Source organism: Homo sapiens, chromosome 9 (assembly GCF_000001405.40).
Source record: "Homo sapiens chromosome 9, GRCh38.p14 Primary Assembly".
In the NCBI taxonomy this organism is placed as follows: Eukaryota; Metazoa; Chordata; class Mammalia; order Primates; family Hominidae; genus Homo; species Homo sapiens.
In genome coordinates, this window is record NC_000009.12 from 14,712,677 (window position 1) to 14,734,165 (window position 21,489).

At 39.0% G+C, this 21,489-nt stretch overlaps 1 protein-coding gene across 2 annotated transcripts, besides 2 other annotated features; it reads right to left on the minus strand.

Annotated features, from left to right (window-relative positions):
- Positions 1-4,649: 4,649 nt before the first annotated feature.
- On the minus strand, positions 4,650-10,057 carry CER1 (cerberus 1, DAN family BMP antagonist). 2 transcript variants are annotated; one of them, XR_001746419.2, is made up of 3 exons: positions 9,490-10,057; positions 7,310-7,710; positions 4,650-6,240 (listed from the first exon to the last, which is right to left on the minus strand). XR_001746419.2 is itself a non-coding variant. In NM_005454.3 (2 exons), the coding sequence occupies exons 1-2, from the start codon at positions 9,994-9,996 to the stop codon at positions 7,414-7,416; spliced, it is 804 nt and encodes a 267-aa protein (NP_005445.1). In that variant the 5' UTR covers positions 9,997-10,057; the 3' UTR covers positions 7,048-7,413. The 2 variants fall into 2 exon arrangements, 1 of the variants encoding a protein (NP_005445.1); NM_005454.3 differs by lacking the exon at positions 4,650-6,240 and having other exon boundaries at positions 7,048-7,710.
- Positions 9,205-10,144: an enhancer, noted in NCBI's record as "OCT4-NANOG-H3K27ac hESC enhancer chr9:14721879-14722818 (GRCh37/hg19 assembly coordinates)". NCBI's record gives its function as "activates a minimal SCP1, AML or CMV promoter by ChIP-STARR-seq in naive and primed H9 embryonic stem cells {active_cell/tissue: H9 hESC(naive and primed)}" and the evidence as "EXISTENCE:reporter gene assay evidence [ECO:0000049][PMID:30033119]".
- Positions 10,145-11,082: an enhancer, noted in NCBI's record as "OCT4-NANOG-H3K27ac hESC enhancer chr9:14722819-14723756 (GRCh37/hg19 assembly coordinates)". NCBI's record gives its function as "activates a minimal SCP1, AML or CMV promoter by ChIP-STARR-seq in naive and primed H9 embryonic stem cells {active_cell/tissue: H9 hESC(naive and primed)}" and the evidence as "EXISTENCE:reporter gene assay evidence [ECO:0000049][PMID:30033119]".

The window sequence follows — 21,489 nt, forward strand, 5'->3', positions numbered from 1 at the left end:
GAATGAAACCCAAACTCTCAGCCAGGAAAATTCTGTCTTCTCTAGGGCAGGAGCCTGTCAGCCATCTTAGTACTCCAATAGGCACAGTGCTTGACACAATAGACTCTAAATAAACGATAACTGAATTAATACATCAATGGGCTGGATGGATGAATAGACTTAAATTAGGAGCCCTGAGGCATTAAAGATAATTTGAATATCCTGAAATGAGGATAAGAAAGAGAAGGGAGCCCAAGGGGGAGACCAGAGGCCAGAAGCAGGAAAAGTGAATGCCAAAGAAAATTCTACCCGATTTGCAGTTTTTCTTAGGGCTATCAAAGGATTTATAATCTCCTTTAAGGACAAGTGGGAGAATGGGGTATAGGGTCTTTTTTTTTGCTCATATATGCACATTTTGGAGCCCCTTCAATGATAAGTTTACACTATGTTTTCATAATCCTGTAAAGCTACAGGACATTATTTTTCAAGGTTCAAAGACGCTATTCAATCTGGTGGATCCCAGACCTGAAGAGGGCATGCCTTCAGTGATTTACCTGAGCTGGAGTAGGATGTTGGCTCTGTCTATCCATTTAAGTTTTCACCTATTTCTTGTCTTAGGTTTGGGCAGGTTGCAGATTTCCTTTTAATAATGTCATTGTGACTTATAAAACACGCTTATTGGAAATTCTTGTTTTTTGTATATGGGACATGAAAGAGGCATGTTTCCCTTAGTTGGCAGAAAAGAAGAAGTTGTCATACTTCCTTGAAAAACATTATTAACCAAGTCCCCACCCATAGGTGGGTCCTTGGTGATTATTTCTTTTGGAGGAAAGGAGGAGGAACAAAACAGTGTAAGAGGGAGGAAACCCACAAAATGAAAATCTGACTCTCCCCTGGAAATGTGGGTGGATAAATGAATCCTCGCTTTGGAAAACTAGTATTACAGGAAAGTCCATTCCTTTGCTCAGGGTACTATTACTCACTCATTTCACCACTGCAAACTCCTGCATGTGGGTATTAGATTCAACAAGGTGAACAGGACCCACTAACGTGTATTTAAAATTCATCCTCTGTTATCAAAATAGAAACCCAACTTTTCTGAGCTCCAATTGAAGAGGTTTATGCACATGATTTCCAAGGTTTCTTCCAGCTCTCTGGCTCAACTGGACTCAAGGCTTTCTCTCATTTATTATACCCGCTGGTAAAATGTTTGGCTCATGAAATTGTTTGAGAAGCTCCTCAAAATTTCGGACCTTCTCCCCTGAAGTATGCCCATACACACATCTGTGTACACTCCAGGGGGGTTCATGAGCCCCTCTGAAACTATTTTTATAAACCCATACCGGCTGGGTGCGGTGGCTTATGCCTGTAATCCTAGCACTTTGGGAGGCTGAGGCAGGCGGATTACCTGAGGTCAGGAGTTCAAGACCAGCCTGGCCAACATGGTGAAACCGGGTCTCTGCTAAAAATACAAAAATTAGCCAGGCGTGGTGGTGCATGTCTGTAAGCCCAGCTACTTGGGAGGCTTGAGGTAGAAGAATCACTTGAGGCTGAGGCTGCAGTGAGCTGAGATCATGCCACTGCACTGTAGGCTGGGCAACAGAGCAAGATTCTGTCTCAAAAAAATAACAAAAAAAAAACCTCATACCTTCCTAATTTGCTCAAAAACTCCCCATACATTCTTAAAATGTGCTGGCTGCTATTCAAAGCTTCCCACACTATGTACACTAACCCATCCTTCTAAGAGTGTCTCCCAAAATTCGTCCATTTAGCTTACATGTATTGAGCATTTACCCCTTTATAAAACATTAAAATCATGTTTTATGTATATGTGTATATGTTTATGTATGTATGTAAATATAAAGCATACAACATACAGCATATATTAGGAACAGAAGGGTAACAAAGATGTAAACTTTGTTAAGGTATACAGAAGTTATTATATAAAGACTTGCCATTAAGGAGTTTATAATCTAGAAGGAAAGATAAGACAGGTAAATAAATAATGATAAATTAAAAAGTGGGCCGAGTGCAGTTCCTCACGCTTGTGATCCCAGCACTTTGGGAGGCTAAGGTGGACGGATCACTTGAGGTCAGGAGTTCGAGAGCAGCCTGGCCAACATGGTGAAACACTGTCTCTACTAAAAATACAAAAATTAACCAGGCATGGTGGCGCACCCCTGTAATCCCAGCTACTTGGGAGGCTGAGGTGGCAGAATCACTTGAACCCAGGAGGTGGAGGTTGCAGTGCGCCGAGATTGTGCCACTGCACTCCAGACTGGGAGACGGAGTGAGACTCCATCTCAAATAATAATAAAAATAATAATAATACTTAATTAATTAATAAAAAAGTGGCAACAGCTGTGGCCTAACAGCCATTTGCTCTTTATTCCTTGATTTTGTTCCACTGCTCAATTATCCTAGACATAACTGATTTTATTTAGCTTTTTTAAAGGGATGGAAGTGGGAGAGACATTCGTGTGTGAATAGTGAAGCATGATGCCTGGAACTGCAGTAGCCATGTTGTGACTGAGAGGAGTTTTAGCTTGTAGAAGACACACTGAAAGTAAGAGAGCAGAAAGATGAAAGGAACCCGAGTCCTTGATGGAATGGTAGAGCTGCTGACTTGACCACCTAAGGAACTGGCTGCCTTCCAGACTTCTTGTTAGAGACATAGTACATTCCTTCTTAATTTAATACATTCCGAGCTGTATTTCCTGCTACTGGAGTTGGAAACATCCTCACTGTTATAGGTGCCGTAAGACAGGCATGAATAATGGGCTCTGGGAATCAGAGAGGGGATGGATTAGTATTAGGTCTTTAACTTTGATTTGTATGTATCTATATGCGTGTCTATATTTATATGTGCGTATATTTGCATACATATGTATACATAAATATTTATATTATATATATATTTCCATATTTGCTATCTTGAGACAATATAACTTAGTAAGAAAGAGCTTAGGCTTTGGAGTCATTCAGCTTCTCCTATTCCCTAACAGTGATACTTTGGAAAGTTTATTTATATGAGCCTTAGCATCTTTATCTATAAATATTCCTCATAAGGTTTCATGAGGATTAAATAAAATGATGTATAGAAAGTGTTTGGCACAGTGCCTGACACATGACATAACCTCAGTAGATGATACCTATTGATATTGTTTCTTTCATACAGACAAAAAATATTTATTGAGTACCTACTGTGTGCTGGCCCCTTCCAGACACTGATTACAATCCTGAAAGAAACCTCCTGCAATATGATACCTGTTTTCATGGACCTTATAATTTAATTAATGATGGCCAGAATAAAGATATAATTACAAGCTGATATGAGTGCTATAAAACAAAGGTTTCAGTGTCATGAAATCATGTTAGACGTGAACCCAAACTTGTCTGAGGGTTAAAGAAGGCTTCACTGGGATAGTGGTGTTTGAGACTGGGGGTAGGGTGTGATGGAGAGATCATCATTCTAGAATATATGGAAGAGTAAACAAGTAGCAAAAACATGCAGTTACTTGTTCCTGGACAGTAGGATTCTTAAAGTCAGGGATTATATTTAGATAATCCTCTACTCATTTATTCATATTCTTTGTCCCCAGCACAGTGACCAGGCTCATCATAGACATTCATAACTATTTGTGGACTGAATGAATGAACCCCTCCAACTCTCATTCTCCTTGTCAAAAAAAATGAGTAGAAAATATCCACTTCTAGGAGATAACAAATATAAAGCATCTGAGCACATAGTAAGAACTCAATAATTAGTAGTCCTTATAAATGTACTATTATCATTGCCTTAAAATTTGCATACATTATCTCTGCTACTACATTGTAAGCTCCAGCGTGGCAGGAAATGTGTCTTATTTATCTTGGAATATCCCAAGGTTCTTAGCACAGTGTCTTGCATAGAATAAATTAAATTATCTGTAAAAATTCAGAGGATAAATAAAAGTCTTATTTAGGAATTAAACTGACAGGTCAAAGAAATTGCGCAGATTGAGAAAATCAAAGCTAGGTTAGCTACTCTCTGTAAGGAATACTTAATTTCTAGAATGGAGATAAAATATAGATGGGAAAAAAACCTCTCAAAACTTTGTAAAAACAAACAAGAATTATGTGTGGTGAAAAATGCCATTATAGAACAATTAATAGAGAATATCATGTACATAATTCAAAACACATAGCTTTAATGTCACCGTCTCAGAGACCACTTAATCTAATCAATCTCTAGCATATTTTAATTATTTGCATACCACTTATAGCCATCTGATATTTTTCTTTTTGAATTGATTGATTGATGAATTGATTGATTTTCAAATTACATATCTCCCCCAATAGAATGTAAGCTCTATAGGAGCAGTGATCTTGTCTGACTTGTTCCCTTTTTGTATTCATGGCACCTAGAGCTGTATCTCGTACATAGTTGATGGACAAATAAATACATGCTGACTAAAGTAGTGCATATAAAAAATAATACTACATATTGTTTATGGAAGTATATATAAATTAGCAAAAATATAGAAGGGAATTGAAAGTATAAGCAGGAATTTTTAGTGGTGTGGTGTTTTGTAGGCAAAAGCTTAGGGAATAAGACTCAGTATTGTGGTCAGAAGGAACTTTACTTATATCTGAAATGGCTTATTTAAAAGAAGACTAGAAGCAAAAGATGACAAAATAGTAACTATTTATTTCGTTTATATGAATTTCAGTGTTATATTATTATTTGCGCTTTTCCGTGTGTTTTCAATTTCTCAAAACAAATTTAAAAAATAGAAGGTCTGAACGGAAAAGAATAAATTAATCCCTTGTAGTTTTACAGGATCTAAAGTTCTCTGAAGTGTTGTTATGTACACTTGATCATCACAATAATTTTGAGGTAATTATTACCAGCCTTATTTTATATGAGAGGAAAATGAGACCAGGATTTATGAAGAGGTGTGCCATGAGGACCAACGGAGTCAAGGAAATATTTGGCCGATAACCTGACCTAGAGATGATTTCTCTTTTGAGATATAACATCAAAATCCTTCAGATAGGAGAGCTAGGTAAGTGGTAAAAAGAAATTTGCTTTGAAGCCTATAGGCAAGAGACCTGGAAGAGTTCAATATAAACTGACAAAGAACAAATGAGCAAATATTTTAATCCAAAATAGAAAATATTCTCCAAATGCTCTTAGGCAAATTCTGAAACTTTTAAAGGCTTGCTTTTCTTACCCATAAAATACAGTGATAACCTACTTTATATAGTTTTTGTGAGGATTAAATTGTTAACTTCTTGTAAAAGACAGCACAGTATCTGGCACTTAATAAATGTTCAATATTTGTGTTTTTCCTCTTGGTTTCTTACAGTCTTACATATTATGTTCAACCTTTGTAAATTGCCTTTTTTGTAAGTAAAAATGATTGAATATGAGCAATTTTGTTGAATTTCATGCAATTATTCTATAAATGTAAGGTTTGATACCACTATCAACTATCCCATCTAGAATTTACATGCAAGGGAAGCGCAGACCAAAATTTGAATAAAACAGATCATTGTTTGGGGTTTGGGCTTGAGAGTCTATTTGCAAGGATGGATGAAACGGATTTACAAGCATGTAAGGAGGAGAAGGACAGTCCAATTGGCAGAGATAGGTTTTCATAATCAGGGTTAGGCGATTGCAATCATGACAGCTGTTTGATAGCTTTTGGCACCAAAATATATTGACCAGCTGAGATATCATTAATGCTTAACAATTTTATCCTTATGAGCATATCTTGGCCAGCTAGGTTGCCTTTGACCACCAAAGGGTATGATAATATATTCCAATGTAAATGCCATGTGTGCATCTGTGTAACTCACATTCATGTTGATGTGTTACAAAATATACACTAAATATAAATGCCTTTGCTTCTTTGGAATGTCATGTTAGATGGTGTGATTAAAGAGGAATAGAATTAAAATATAAATTGATTTATTTAAAAAAAACAGTTATTCTGGGAAATGTGTGTATGTGTGTGCACTAAAAGTAAAAGAAACCTAATTATTAAAATAATTTTTAGGAACAAAAATTTGAATAACTTAATAGAAAAAGCAGTCTGGCTGGGAAAAGGCAGTTCTGTACCATATATGTGTAAAAATTAACACAGACAGGAGAGAGGTGATTGAGAGACTTAAACAGAAGGCTGCTTACAGATCAGAAGAAACCCTTGGTCCAGTGTCATAAGTCTATGAAGACATTCCAGAAATGCTTCCAGCTAGGTTATCTCCTGATAGTACCTTTAAATTATGAGACAAAACAAGTAAGGGAAAAATATAAGAACATTTTTCAGAATGCTTCATATACTAAAATTTAATGCATTAAAATATCCAGAATATTTTCAGAACCTGTAATTTTGGTACTTGCTGAATAAAATTTATAATACAAAGTTTTATTAAATAGCAAAAAACAGTCATTCAAACATAGAAACCTTACTACCTAATTCAAAATGCATGTGAGTAAATAATTTTGCCTGAAGATTGAATTTTTGGGGGTTACTTTCATTAGCATCTCTGGATTGATCTCTAAACCTGGTAGTAGTCATGTATTTTTCCTTCCTCATAATATAGGTACTTGTTTGGCTACCAGTGATTGTTCCTCTTCCCTATATAAACTACTAAAATTAACATCACTGTTCCTTCTTCAAAGTCAGAGACCTGACATTAAGTACTTTATATGAGGAGTATTGTTAAAAAGGAGGCAACCAAGCAAGTTACTCCTTACATCTGTGGAAAGACTTAATCATCAGATAGAAGTCAAGTAAAACACTGTTTGGGTTGCAAAAGTAACTATAAGTATGAGAATCTTTCCTACAAATATTTCACGTAGCCTGCCTCCCTGCCTGCCTGCGTGCCTGCCTGCCTGCCTGCCTGCCTGCCTGCCTGCCTTCCTTCCTTCCTTCCTTCCTTCCTTCCTTCCTTCCTTCCTTCCTTCCTTCCTTCTTTCCTTCCTTCCTTCCTTCCTTCCTCCCTCTCTATCTTGCTTCTTTGCTTGCTGGTGATTTGACACACATTAAAGAAGCCCATTTTTATGGTCTCGCTTATTTCTTTTCCTTCTTTAGATGGAGGGCTTTTACCCAAACTTGGAGAAAATGCATCACGGAATATTAGTAGTGGAAAGGATTTTAGCAATCATCTAGGTCGGGTCCGTCATTTATAGATGAAAATCTTTAGATGGAGAAAGGTTTTACAACTTAACATTCTACGGCTAGTTAGTGGCAGAGCTGAGACAAGGTCTCAAACGTGTACCAATAACTAGACTAATATCATTTCCTCTATCGTTCTAATTTAAAACTACGTTTCAAGTCACCTTTCCCTGAAAATGTTATGTACCCACTTAACATTTTCAGACTGAATAATCAGCATCTTTGCTGTTGTGGTTTTGCTTTTCAAAGGTAATAGTGGGATAGCTCTTCAAGCTGAAACTCCTGGGATAAAGGAATCCTGGGAGCCAGCATGTAGGATGTGTCCATCTTCATGCTCCGTCTTCACCTTGCACTGGCACTCCTCCACCAGCATCACCACCTTGATCACGGAGGAAAGTTCAGTGCAGTTCAGTGGCAAGTGCATCGTGGTGAACTTGGCAGGCAAACAGTGAGAGCAGGAGGTATGGGAGTGCTGCGCGGCTCCAGGAAAATGAACAGACCCGCATTTCCCAAAGCAAAGGTTGTTCTGAACAACTACTTTTTCACAGCCTTCGTGGGTTATAGTCTAAAAAGCAAACACATTTCCATTACGTTATTTTGAATTATTTCTTTAACACACATAATGCAGAAGCTATGGACTGTAAATCTGAGGATAATTTAAAAATTTCAAAGCTTTCCAATTTTGGATACAATTTGCAATATGCAAGTGATGGTATCTATAAGGGCACAGAACCACCTCAATTAAATTTTCTTTATTGAGTAAATTATTAAACAGCCTTTAGGGAATCCCTAAGTTAACATAAAAAATATTTTACTCTACATTATTCGTGCAAAACCTTAAGCAATTTTGTCTAATTGGATGTGAGCGATTGAAAAATTCTAATGGTAATTATCTTACATAAGTAATGTGCCTTACTTTTTTATTCCTCACAGGGCTTTGTGCATAGTAGGCTCCCAATACATATTTGTTACATTGATCGTAGAATAGATCAGAACATTCTAGGTTTAATTCTATCCTATTCTGCAAGACCTGTAGTACATTCAAGTCTATGAAGTTGTATGCAAGCAGAGTTACAATGCATATGCCTGCAAATCATTGTATATTACATCACCTTTACCTCTCATAACTCCAAGCACCTAGCTTTATATGCCTTTCAAAATATGTAAGAGTCAAACATCTTAGTTTTAATTTAATTAGCAATAGAATTCAAAAGAAGAATTTCAAAAGAAATTTGATTGCCTGATTCTTAGGGGTAATTTTCTAATTGCACATGGCCAACAGAGTAGTCATTATTATTTGATAATTGACTTGCCATTGCTACATATCCTTGCCTTTTCAGGCAGAATACTTAACTGCCTTGAACAGTCAATTGCCCTATTCTATTGCTTGCTTAATTGGGTAGCATTACTCGACTATAAAATTTTACTCTACCCTGCATGTTTTTGGTTCAATATCTTCATGTTTAAGGACCTAATGCAAGTTCTCAATTTTAATTTAACATTTGGAATGTAGATATTGCCAGAGGAAGTAGACAGTAGGATGTCCCTTTGTCTTAATAGCATGGAATTGATCATAATAACTACAAATCAGCCAACACAACATGAATCAGGAGAAAGGTACTTCTAAGGGGAGGAGATATGATCTCACATCAAGATTGATTTTTTAAAAAGCTCATATGAGAAAATAAGTGAAAGAAAATCACTTTTTTGCTATCATAATACTAGAAATGATATGACAACTTTTGCCTGAGAACCTCAACGTACTTTGAGGTTGTGGGATAGCTTTAGCAAGCTATTAAAGAAGTCCCTCATAAACCTATAAAGTAATTAAGTATGGACTATGGGGATTAAGACCATCGTAAATGGATATGAGAGTATTTGGGAAGGAGTCCAATGCACCCCACTTTATCAACAAATGGAGTTGACCTGCTCATCCACATATTAATAGAGTGCAGAAAGATAGCTACAGAGGAGTTCTGGTGATTACTCTAAATTCTCAGTTTCCTAACTGAGGGTACAGTCTGACTTATATCTCTGAGTAGATCACCTCCAATGCAAAAATAAATAAATAAAACAGAGCTCTGTGTCTTCAGTGTGAATGAATGATTACTGATATTGACAGTATCATCATATCATTCTTGCAGCATTTCCACAATGCCAAGAAAAAATGGAAAGGCCAGAAGGAAACTTAATCTTTGCCAAATCCTATGATGAATGCCCAAGGACCAAATCTGTAGTTAAGCTAGAGTCAGGCTCCTGACAGCCTTTTCCCCTACTCTCCATCCATCCCAGCTGTCCACTACCACCTGCAAACTCTTACCTGCTCTCCCCCCAGAACACATACCTGGCTGAAGGGCACTGTCCTGCAGGTCTCCCAATGTACTTCATGGCTTTTGATGGGCAAGATGACCCCCTGAGAAGCCGGAGTTTTTCTGAACATGAAGTGGTGCCAGAATTTCTTGGCTTCTTCCCGAAGAGGAGATTTCTCCATTTTCATTCCATCTATCGGCTGGATGAGGGACTGGGTCCCAGGTGGGAAGGGCTCACTATCTGAGTCCCTGGATGGATGCATTTCTCTCTCAGGCTTCTTCCAGAACCTGCCAAATCTGGACAGCATCTTCTCTCTCTGCCTCTGGCCTTCCCCTGCAGGGCTGGTGGCTACAAGGTGTGGCACTGCGACAAACAGATCTGGCTTCTCCTCAGCTTCCTCATGGTTGCCTGTGGGAAGCTCTCTTTGATTCCTTGGCAGGAGTACGGGGGAAAGAGAACTCTGATTCTGGCGGCCATCCTGGTGCCGTGTGGTCTTTCCTAGAGGCAGGAGTACCAGCAGCTGAAATAAGAGGAGATGCATGCTGTCAGGGGCCCAAGCTTCTTTTGTAAATGATGAGGCCCAAAGGAGAGGCTCATTCTCTGCAGGACTGGGAAAAAGGAAATCGTATATATAGATACCTGCCTGGCGGGATGGGAAGGCAGGTGGTCAGTAGCCAGGCAGAATAAACACATTTATTGTTTGCTTGAATTATGTAGTGCTAATGGCCTCCTGCCGTCACTTTGGTTTTGTGTATTTTAAAAGGCCCCAGTGAAAGCCTGGGACCCAGGGGGTAATTAGCTAAGAGTTTAGCTATGTCTGGGGCTTAAAGAGCAGTATTAGCAAAGACAACACATTCTTTGCCTAAATTTCCCATGGCTGTTTTCAGAAGAAGGACTAGAGTCAGCTCACATTTGCTGTGCATCTGCCTTGTGCTGGAATAGAATAGACAAGACATGTTGCTGTAAGAGAAGTTTTTGGATAAAAATTAAAGGCATACATTTAGAAAAAGCCCAGGCCTTTAGGAAGGCTATTCACACACACACACACACACACACACACACACACACACACACACACACGAAGAAGTATATCAAAGTTGTAAGGAGAAGAAAGGAAGAGCTAGAAGGATGTTAATTTTTTTGAGCAAGGGACATATTGTTTCTTACTTACATGCAAATTGGGGTTATTGATTTTTGCACAGTAACTGAGTAAAGGGAATATGTTTTCCTTTCCACACGTAGAAACTCACAATTCCCAAGTTAATCCTCTCACATTAAGAATCAATTAATGGGTGCTAAATTTCACAACTGGTCAGTCATCAGATAAACTCTTCCAATTGTTCACATGTTCCTCAACAGGATACCACGTAATAGACTGACAGCTCATCAGTCTTCAATGAGGATAGGGAAATGTCTCCCTCCAGCCATCCTATTGATTTTTTTTTCCCTTTGAACAAAGAGCCAGACATGAGAACGTGGATTCTAAGAACCAGGTTTGATAACTTTGTGTGTGACGCTGGCTAGTCAGTTTCTTACCTTATTGAATCCACATCATCTCCCCTTGTTTTACACTAATTGATGGCCAGGCTAAATAAAGATTGACACAAATAAGAGTCTTCGGGGATCAAAGGAAAAATTGAAAAATAACTATCATTCAAAACTATCATGAATCAGCCTAGGATACGAAAAAGAAACACGTCCAGAAAACTGAAACCCCAGAATAGAGTCCGATCAGCCTACCACATGATTCAAACAGTATTTCCACTGGGAAGCAATGCAATATCTGCTTTTATTTCTCCCCTTTTAATTCAATCACTATATTCCTTGCTTTCAATAACACAAATAGTCCTGGAACATGTTCCCCCTTTTTTGTCAATACTGATTAAACTTTCTTTCCAAGAAGTGACCCACTGGAGTCTGTTTTCCAGGCATTTCTGTTCTTCTTGATAGCCATGCCTGATTTCTATGAAATAAAGCCTTAAGTAAGTCCCTTTACCCATGATAATGAGCTATTTTTAACATGGACCATCACTTTACCAGAATGCCATGAGTGGAGATATATTGTACTTGTACCAAATATCTATGGAACGTGTGCTAGTATTAATGAAAGGTGCTGTTGATATATAATAAATAAGCATGTGTATTTGCCATTGTTTTTTTTTATTTTAGGAAAAGGGTTCTGCTCTGTTGCCCAGTCTGGAGTGCAGTGGTGCAATCATAGCACTCTGTAACCTCAAACTCCTAGGCTCAAGCAAGCCTCCTGAGTAGCTGGGACTACAGGCACACTACCACACCTGGCTATTTAAAATTTTGTGTTGTTGTTGAAACAGAGCCTCACTCTGTTGCCCAAGCTGCTCTGAAACTCTTAGCCTTGAGCCACCATCTTGCCTCTGCCTCCCAAAGTGCTGGGATTACAGGCGTGAGCCACCATGCTATGTCAACATCTTTTTTTTTTTAATTGACTGCTACTTGAATTTCTTAATTCCCCTCAGCCATCCAATGCTATACGCTTTCCAGAGCTAGTCACTAGGCCTCCTGGTATAATATGGTGTGGAAGCCAGCTGTGATACCTTTCCTGAATCCTTTTAACTGTTACTTTTCAGTAACTGAAATTCCATTGTTATCAATCAGAGTATCTACTATTTCCCAAAACTAAAGACAATCTCAGAAATTCTATCTCGGGTCTCAGTTTGCTTGGCTCTGGAATTACTGAACATGAGATACAGTTGAGATAATTCCTGTTGAACTGCAATGTGTAGAAGACTCACTTTGTGTGTTAAGAATCATATTAGATACTGGTAGATAATTGAAAAATGAGTAAAACTTTGTCCCTGCCCTCAAGTAGGTTAGATAGTCTAGTGGGATTTCTTATGCATCATCTAACTTTATTGTATAAAATCATCTATAGGGATGTCAGTTATCCATTTTTCACTTTCCTTTAGTCCTAAACTTCCCTTCCTCTGATCCTAATTTGGGGCTTATAAGTGCCATTTAAAAATCACTCACAGAGAATATCCTTTTGCTGTTCTGTCACTTCTTTTGAGAAAATGTGCAAATATCTTGAAATATTCTCCCTACTCCCATTAGTAAATACTATCCGTGAAAAGTAAATCTAGCAAAGCCAAGCCTTCTGTGATGAGAACTATGAAACAAGCCTATCTCCAACCTCTGCCTTTTTCAGCTAAAGGCAATGACTATCACCTTTCACTATCGTGTCCATTCACCAATTCTAAAGCCATTGATACACTGTGTGTGTATAATTATGTGTGTATAATTATGTATGTATAACATGTAATATATGTATAATGTAATACATTATAATCTCTTAAGAAAATAAGTGAAGATTTTGTAGCTTTCAGCAAAAATATGCTGCCTCTGTTGGTCTTCAGTTGATACAGGCATCTAGTTACCTCCCAATTTGGATGAACCAAATGGAAATGGAAGTAGGTCTGCAGGAGGTCTCCAGACCCAGTAGGAAGCTTTCATGAGGAGACAGCATCGCCAATTATTAGTGCACTTAGTACCAAATGCCACAGTGAAGGGTGAGCCTGAGTTCATGTGAGTGAGCCCAAGCCTCCTAAGTCCACTTCCTGGGCCAACCCTAGACATGCATGAGAACCAGAGGGGCCAATCCCAGAATCCATTCATTTCCATTTACAGTTCAGGCTTTCAGCAGAATCTGACTGTTTTCAACTTGACTTGGGTTTCTTAGGCACTAAGATGTCTTCAGGAACTCTAAAGACCTCGAGAAGATACTTAAATAAAAAATGTTTTCATATGCTGGTGACACTTTTATAAAATGGACAAGAAAAGAGGCCCATGAGACCCAGCCGCTCAAGACACGTTGAGGTGGTTTGTCTCCTTTTCAGACCTCCCCAGTGTGCCTATGAGAGGACAGCAACAGCTACATTTTCTGTCCCTCTTACAGACTCTCAGAAGACAGTTAAAAAGAAGCCCAGTGCTCTCCAAGGGCGAACAGAGAGACTAAGTTCTTCCCTAAAAACCTATCTTAAATCAACAAAAGGTGAGAGGCAGTGTTGAGGTGGGGGGTGGACATTACAGTTAAACAGGACAACTGAGAGCTGGAAAAGGACATTTGGGTTGAAGGATTCAGGAGAGAAATCTGACTGGGGAGCATGCCACTGCCTCATCACTACCTCTCTTTTCAAAATACAGAATAGCAATCATGTCATGGCAGGTTAGATTATTTTTTTTTTAACTCAGAAGAAAACAGGACCTTTTTTCTTATTTTCCAAGGAACAAGGAAAAGGGAAAATTAGGATATATGATTTCCCCTTAAACTTTTAAATAAACAATTTACTTAATTATTCAAAATGTACACTCCCTCCTCCCCTTTCCATGGAAAAGACACGTGAGGAAGAGCCCCATTCCCTGAAGCTGCTCCTTTAACTGGACTAATTCTTTCATTCTTACAGCGCACACCTGAGTGCCAGCTCTGTTCTAGGAACTGGAGATAAGTGTTGAGAGTGTCTTTGTTCAGTTTCAGGTCTAGTGGATTTTGCAATCTATAGGGACAGCCTAGTATATTCAAAATAAGTTTTACAGGGAAAATTTAGGCCAGGCATGGTGGCTCATGCCTGTAATCCCAGCACTTTGGGAGGCGAAGGTGGGCAGATCACCTGAGGTCCAGAGTTCGAGACCAGCCTGGCTAACATGGTGAAATCCTGTCTCCACTAAAAATACAAAAATTAGCTGGGCATGGTGGCTGGTGCCTGTAATCCCAGCTGCTTTGGAGCCTGAGGCAGGAGAATTGCTTGAACTTGGGAAGTGGAGGTTGCAGTGAGCCAAGATCATGCCACTGCACTCTAGCCTGGGCGACAAAGGGAGACTTCATCTCAAAAAAAAAAAAAGAAAGAAAGAAAGAAACAAAATTTAGGCAGGCATCATTCCTGTACTAATCAGGGACTTTCAAGTAGAGCCAAATCCCAAAGATGCAGTGAACTGTATGCTTTATTTGTGCTAATTTTATTCAATAATAAATATTTGTTGAATTCAAGGAAGCACTGTAGACATGGTGCAGTACATTTCTTTTATTTTTGAGTAGGTAATAAATACGCATAGTAACAAAATTCAAATAACACACAAAAAAATGCACAACGAAAGGTTGATCTTCCTCTGACTCCACCCCAGGCTGCCTGTCCTTGCCATGGAGAGAACCATTATTATCAGTTTCTTTATTCAATCTTTTAAAACTGTCACCCAAAGATACCAAAATGTGTGACCAGTGGAAAAGGACAAATATCAAATGGTGTAACTGCCAACAAAAAAATCCCCATTTCCACTTCAAGGCACTGATGGTTAGATTGTCTTTTAAAGATTAGATTATTCTGTTTGTAGTTTCGGTGATCTCACTGCCCTCTGTTCAAAACACCCTCCAACACCATTGAGAAATAGTTTTCTGTATTCTGGGTATTTTGTTTTTTGCATCTGAAGATGTATCTACTACTGTGCACAAGTCATGGACAATATCTACATGTGTCTAATCATCTCCCTACCAAGACTGCAGAGAGGGCTCCTGCAAATCTGAGAATTAGGCCAAGGCAGCCTGAGCTGTCCCTCACCATGTGCCCCACCTTCCTACCTGTCCATCCATCTCCAATGCCTGTGCCTATACTTAGAGCCAGTTCAGGATGCAGTCACTGATGCAACATCTCTGTCCTGCTCCTTCTTCCTCATCTTTAAAATTTACCTTGTCTGTTTTTCCTTCTGTAGAAAGCTGATCTCAGAGCTAAGTAATGTCAGTGGAACTATCTCTGGACTTGAGGCCAAAAAAACTAAATCTGATTCCTCGAACTGCATTACAGCTTGTAAACTCTATGGCATCAGGCACTTAACTTTATGTCCCTGAATGTCTGTAGAGGCAATATTACTTGCCCTGTCTTCCTCATTTAGTCCACGGTCCTTCTTTTCACCCTGAATCTTACTATCATCCTGGGTGACTTCAGTGTCCATGTGGTTGGGTTTGACCATTAGCATTTCATCAGTATCCCATGGAAGTCCCATTCGATACCCTGGCTGAAATCTGACTGCTCTCATGCCAATTGGCCTCCCTACCCCGATTACATTCTGACCCCTGTTACTATCAAGAACAGCTCTACCTCTAAACTGTGAATTCACATTCCACTCTCTCATAACAATATTGTGTTGTTTCAGTTCCTACAGCATCTGTCCCGTACTTTATCTCTATCATAGTACTACCACCTTTGTCATGAAATAATTTTTGACTGAACATTTAACATCTGCCTCCACTTAAGATTTTTTTTTTTTTTTTTTTGAGACAGAGTCTCGCTCTGTTGCCCAGGCTGGAGTGCAGCGGTGCAATCTCGGCTCACTGCAAGCTCCGCCTCCAGGATTCACGCCATTCGCCTGCCTCAGCCTCCCGAGTAGTTGGGACTACAGGCGCCTGCCACCACGCCCGGCTAATTTTTTTGTATTTTTAGTAGAGACGAGGTTGCACCGTGTTAGCCAGGATGGTCTTGATCTCCTGACCTTGTGATCTACCCGTCTTGGCCTCCCAAAGTGCTGGGATCACAGGCGTGAGCCACCGCGCCCGGCCCAGATTTTAAAGTCCATAAAAGTGGGGTCTTTTTAGTCATCAGCTCAGGCTGTAGCACAGCCTTTCACATAGTAAATGCCCTAAAATATTCATGTAATAATAAATGAATAATGTAATTAATTGATTAACATATATAAATTCTTTGTCTTCATTTTCTTCCCTATCCCACTTTAATTCCATGGTCCATCACTTCAAACTTTTGCAATATTTTCCCTAGTCCCTTTTTTATTCTCTCACACACATCTAATAAAAGTCCAACACTGGGCCCGGACGTGGTGACTCACGCCTGTCATCCCAGCACTTTGGGAGACCGAGGGAGGCGGATCACCTGAGTTCAGGACTTCGAGACCAGCCTGGCCAACATGGTGAAACCCTGTCTCTACTAAAAATACAAAAATTAGCCAGGCACAGTGGAGCCCGCCTGTAATCCTGGCCACTTGGGAGGGTGAGGCATGAGAATCGCTTGAGCCCAGGAGGCTGAGGCTGCAGTGAGCCGAGATTGTGCCACTGCACTCCAGCCTGTGCGACAGGGCGAGAGTCTTTCTAAAACAACAACAACAACAAAAAGTCCAACCCTGAAAACACCCAGCTGTTCATCTTAACTGGGCCCACGCCTGGGATAGGGAGTGCTTTTAGAGACACAGACAAAATGGGCAAAAATGGATTCTATACAAATTTCCTTCTGTCTCAACGGAACCCTCAACTCTGCTCACCAATCCTTCTCATTCCTCTATTCAACTCACTTTTCATTTTCCATGTGGGTTAGTGAAAATCTTCTCTAATTACCTAAAACCTTTGACTGCTCTGCCTCTTTCCTCGTTTTTGATAGATGACCCCTTTTTCTGCAGAGAAAGATAGAACCCATCAGATAAGTGAGTCTCCTTACATTTGACCATCAAACCACACCAGTTCGTTTCTCCTTTCCACACTGCTGTTGGAATCACATCCTTTCCAACCACTTTACTCCATAGTCTACCCTGAATGGTCAAACTTTTGCACTCCACTGGATGCTTTTATATAATGTTTGATCATTTCAAATTTTCTTGATTCCATAGAAGTTTTCAGGTTCTGTACTTCAGTGTTGTCTTCTGCGTTTTCCAGTCAAATATTGGCAAGCTTTCTCCCAATCCAACCTCTACTTTCTCACATCCACTTCTGGATTTACAAGGGAGACATCTCCTCCATGTCACTGAGATGTATTTGGGACTCTGAAAAGCCAAGTTCCTTCTTGATTCGGCTATTCGGTGATTCCTCGGGCTTGTCTTAATTTGGGTACATGCATATCTTTCTAACAAGGAAGAGAGGATCCTCAAGGGCAGGGATTATGTTTGCTGGAGACTACATTGTCAGCAACTTTGAGAAAAGGGATTTTGTTTAATGCATTTTTCTGTTTCTTTTCCATTCCTGGTCCCTCAGTCTACATTTAGGAGGTGAATGGATGTTTGTTTTGACATACTGAGTCCAATAAAAATGCGAAAGGAAACTTCTGACATAGGCCCTTGTTGTGTTTTACTTTCTAAGAAGTATCGCTTTGTCCTGGATAACTTATACTTAATTCTCTGTGTTTAGATTCTATTTTAAAATCAAATTTCCATGGAATCTGGGACTAAACCATTCTTCATTTCCCAGCCTGGCCACAGTCTCAGAGCAGGCCTTAGAACATTGTCACACCAGCCACAGTTCCCAGGCATGTCTCCCCTGAAGGATAATCACACTCCTAAAAAAGGTAATTCATGCCAGAGGACTATATGTCTGTTGGGTAACTTTATGCAGCTTGTAAATTGTTTTACTCCAGTTGGAGCATGGGGGTGGTGTATCACCAACAGAAATGAGTGTAGGGGGCATCTGTCTGAAAACTGTTCCCCCACTGGCCACCTTGCCAGTTTCTGCTTATACAATGCAGGCAGCTTGGGGGAACCATATTGTCCCTATAAGCTCATAACACATGGACAAATGATTAAAAACACATGGAAAACAGTTCCACAGCTAAGCTAAAATTCAGATGGGAATGGAAAATCAACTTGCAAAGCTTTCAACTGACTCAGGGCCAAATGTAGGACAGAATGTGAGGAGAAGTTGCCAAAAGAGAGGAAAGTTGGGGAAAAAAGCAAGTCATGGATAGGAAACCTAAAACAATGACGCCTTGTATTGACAACGCTTCTCTAAGGCTCTCCAAGAGTAGTACCAAATTCAACTCTTCGGAAATATTAAGACCTTCACTTCATGAAAGAGTTTAGACAGATTTATATTTTCTACCCTCTATACACAAGAGTTGGCTTGACTATCTTGGCAACACCTAGGCAGAAACATAATCTTAAGTATCTTAAGTAACATAAATATTAAAAGATTACACATTTTTCCTCCGAGGTGTGGGAATTAAGTAACAAGGTGGCATGAGGCAAACTGTGAAAAATTGTGACAATAAAATGAAAAGCAAAGCACAATTTTCCGGTCAGGGTTTGCCTTCTGTTGTACCTGATGCTGGGCCCAGGTTTGCCATCAAGCTGGCAGGCCTTAGTCACATTCGCAAAAGTTCAACTTGGTTCAAATCTTAAACTCTAAGAAGCCTGTTATTTGTGTCTAGTCACTAAAATCACCTCAGTGATTCTACTGGGTAGGAAATCTATAAGCAAGAAAATAATTTACTGGGAGCCAGTCCCTGCTGGGCCATTCTGTGTAGCTTCTGCCCTGAATCCTTACTGACTCCCACATACGCTGAACCACCTTTCTCTCTGATGAGCAGCACTTAGACCTTCAAATGTTGATTTGGGGCATGATTTGCAAACAGTCCTCCTCAATATATGCAACAAATGTGTTCTTTCAATGCTGAATGTAAAAGGAAGTTTTGAAAATATGGCTCCATGGAGGAGCTATGCTCTTTGGGCAATAGAAAATATCACCCAAGTCCAATCCATTAACAAAGCAAATAGGATCATCCTTTCTGTCAAGTGAAAAACTATTCCCTAATTTATCTCTCTTTAGAATGAGATTTGTGTATCATTGATCACATCTGAAAGCAAGATGTCCTGGGGTTTTAGAAAGGACTCCCTTAGTCATGTGGATTCCTCTGAGAACTGAAAACACATGTTGAACACAAATGTCCTAGCACACAGGAAAGTTCTCACTTGTGATATGGCAACTTAAAACCCTAATTCTCCCACCCCCAGCTCCTCCTTCCTGCTGGGGTTGGTTACTGGTGAGAACAAGCACTGCTTGAAGTTGTCACCCTATTCCAAGTGTGGTCAATACTATTCCATTGTAGTCAAAAAACATATTTTGTATGACTTGAATCCTTTAAAATTTATGGAGACTTATTTTATGTCCCAGAATATGGTCTGCCTAGTAAATATGTCATGTGCACTTGAAAATAATGTACATTCTGCTGTTGTTGGATAGAATATGCTATAAATTTCAATTAAGTTAACTTTGTTAATAGTGTCCATGCTTCTATACTCTGATTTTTCTGTCTACTTATTCCCTCAATTATTGAGAAAGAGGTATTGACATTTCTGACTGTAAGTATAGATTTATCTATTTTTCTTTGAAGTTCTACCACATTTTGCTTCGTGCATTTTAAAACTTTGTTATTAGTAGGCAGGGCGCAGTGGCTCACACCTGAAATCCCAGCACCTTGGGAGGCCAAGGTAGGCGCATCACCTGAGGTCAGGAGTTCACCAGCCTGGCCAACACGGTGAAACCCTGTCTCTTCTAAAAATACAAAAATTAGCCAGGCATGGTGGCGGGTGCCTGTAATCCCAGCTACTCAGGGGGCTGAGGCAGAATAATTGCTTGAACCCAGGAGGCAGAGGTTGCAGTGAGCCAAGACCACACCGCTGCATTCCAGCCTGGGGCAACAAGAGCAAAACTCCATCTCAGAAGAACAAACAACAAACAAACACACAAACAAACAAAACTTTATTAGTACATAAATGTTTAGAATTATTATGTTCTCTTGATGTATTGACCTATTGACCCACTAACATTATGAAATAAGCTTCTTTATTCTTGGCAATATTCTTTGCTCTAAAATTTGCTGTGTTTGGTATTAATCTATCCATTCCAGCTTTCTTTTGATGAGTTTTAGTATGGTATATCTTTTTCCATTCTTTTACTTTTAATGTGTTTATTTATGTTTAAAGTATGTTCCTTGCAGGCAGCATATAGCTGGATTCAAACTTTTTTTTTTTTTTCTGTAGGATAAGTTGAGATTGACTGCTTTTGGAAAGCAAAAATACACATGGGGATAGAAGCGAAAGGTGAACTCATACGTCATTGCTTGGAAAAAGTGTTGGGGGTTACCATGAGGCCTTTAATGGAAGTGTTGGTTGATTTTTGTTCCTTTCTGTCTTAAGATAAACTAAACTTTATTGCCTAACAGAATATAAGACCTATAAAAACTGCTCAAAATGAAGTTATATGTGTAAGTTATGAGGATAGTATATTCATTTCCTGCACGATCCTGTTCTAAAGGCTTGTAAAATTAATTTTGAGAAAATCACGGTGTTCTGCACACTACAGACATCCAGACACACTTTGCCATTAGTAATAGTCCCCCCGTGATTGATAGAGAGAAAGGAGAGGAAGATCAATAAAACAGTACCATAAATTTAAAATATGTCAAATCAGCATTTTGTTCCCTTTAACTAACTATATAAACAAATAAACAAAAGCCCGGGTGAGACATGGGGCAAAGACGGAGTAATGTATCTTGGATAAGCAAGAGAAACATATAGCTACATCAACCCATTTATAGCTTTTTAAAATAAAATTTATATGGTGATTTTAATCACATTTTTATTGAGATACACTTCACATAAAATTTACCATTTAAAACAGTATACTTCAGTGGTTTTTAGTATATCCACTGTTTCTGCAACGATTACCACTACAACTATTATAACTCCAGAATATTTCCATCATCTCAAAAAGAAACTCCGTACCTATTGGCAGTTAGTCCCAATCCTCCTTCCCCGACCTGGAAATCACTAATCTATTTTCTGTCTTTATAGATTTGTCTATTCTGAACATTTCATATGAATGGAATCACAAAATATGTGACCCTTTGTGTCTGCCTTTTGCTTATGATAGTGTTTTCAAGTATACGGTGAATTTTATTATACTCATCATTCAAAGATGAGTATATTTTACTTGAATATAATAAAACTATCTGCTCAGAATGCTAATAGATATGTGGAATAATTAGAAAAGATTCAGCCTAAAATGTGGAAGACCTCAGTTCTAGTGCTGATTTCTTCACACAGTAACTTTCTCTGTTGTAACATAAGAGTATTAAATAAGATGATATCAAAGGTATCTCTCTTTAATTTCTGTTATTCTAGGAATCCCTAAAATACAGAGACATGTACTCATCATTTTGGAAAAAGTAGTTGTTACAAAATCAATTAACTAGATATAAAAACTTTAGTTCCTAACTTGATTCTGGAGACAGAAAATTTG

What these genes read in the sequence shown, in the direction of transcription:
- CER1 (NM_005454.3), bottom strand. Translation starts at nt 9,996, where the DNA reads ATGCATCTCCTCTTATTTCAGCTGCTGGTACTCCTGCCTCTAGGAAAG. An exon ending in GGACAGTGCCCTTCAGCCAG is followed by an intron (nt 7,711 to 9,489) that starts GTATGTGTTCTG and finishes TTTGCTTTTTAG; the next exon opens with ACTATAACCCACGAAGGCTG.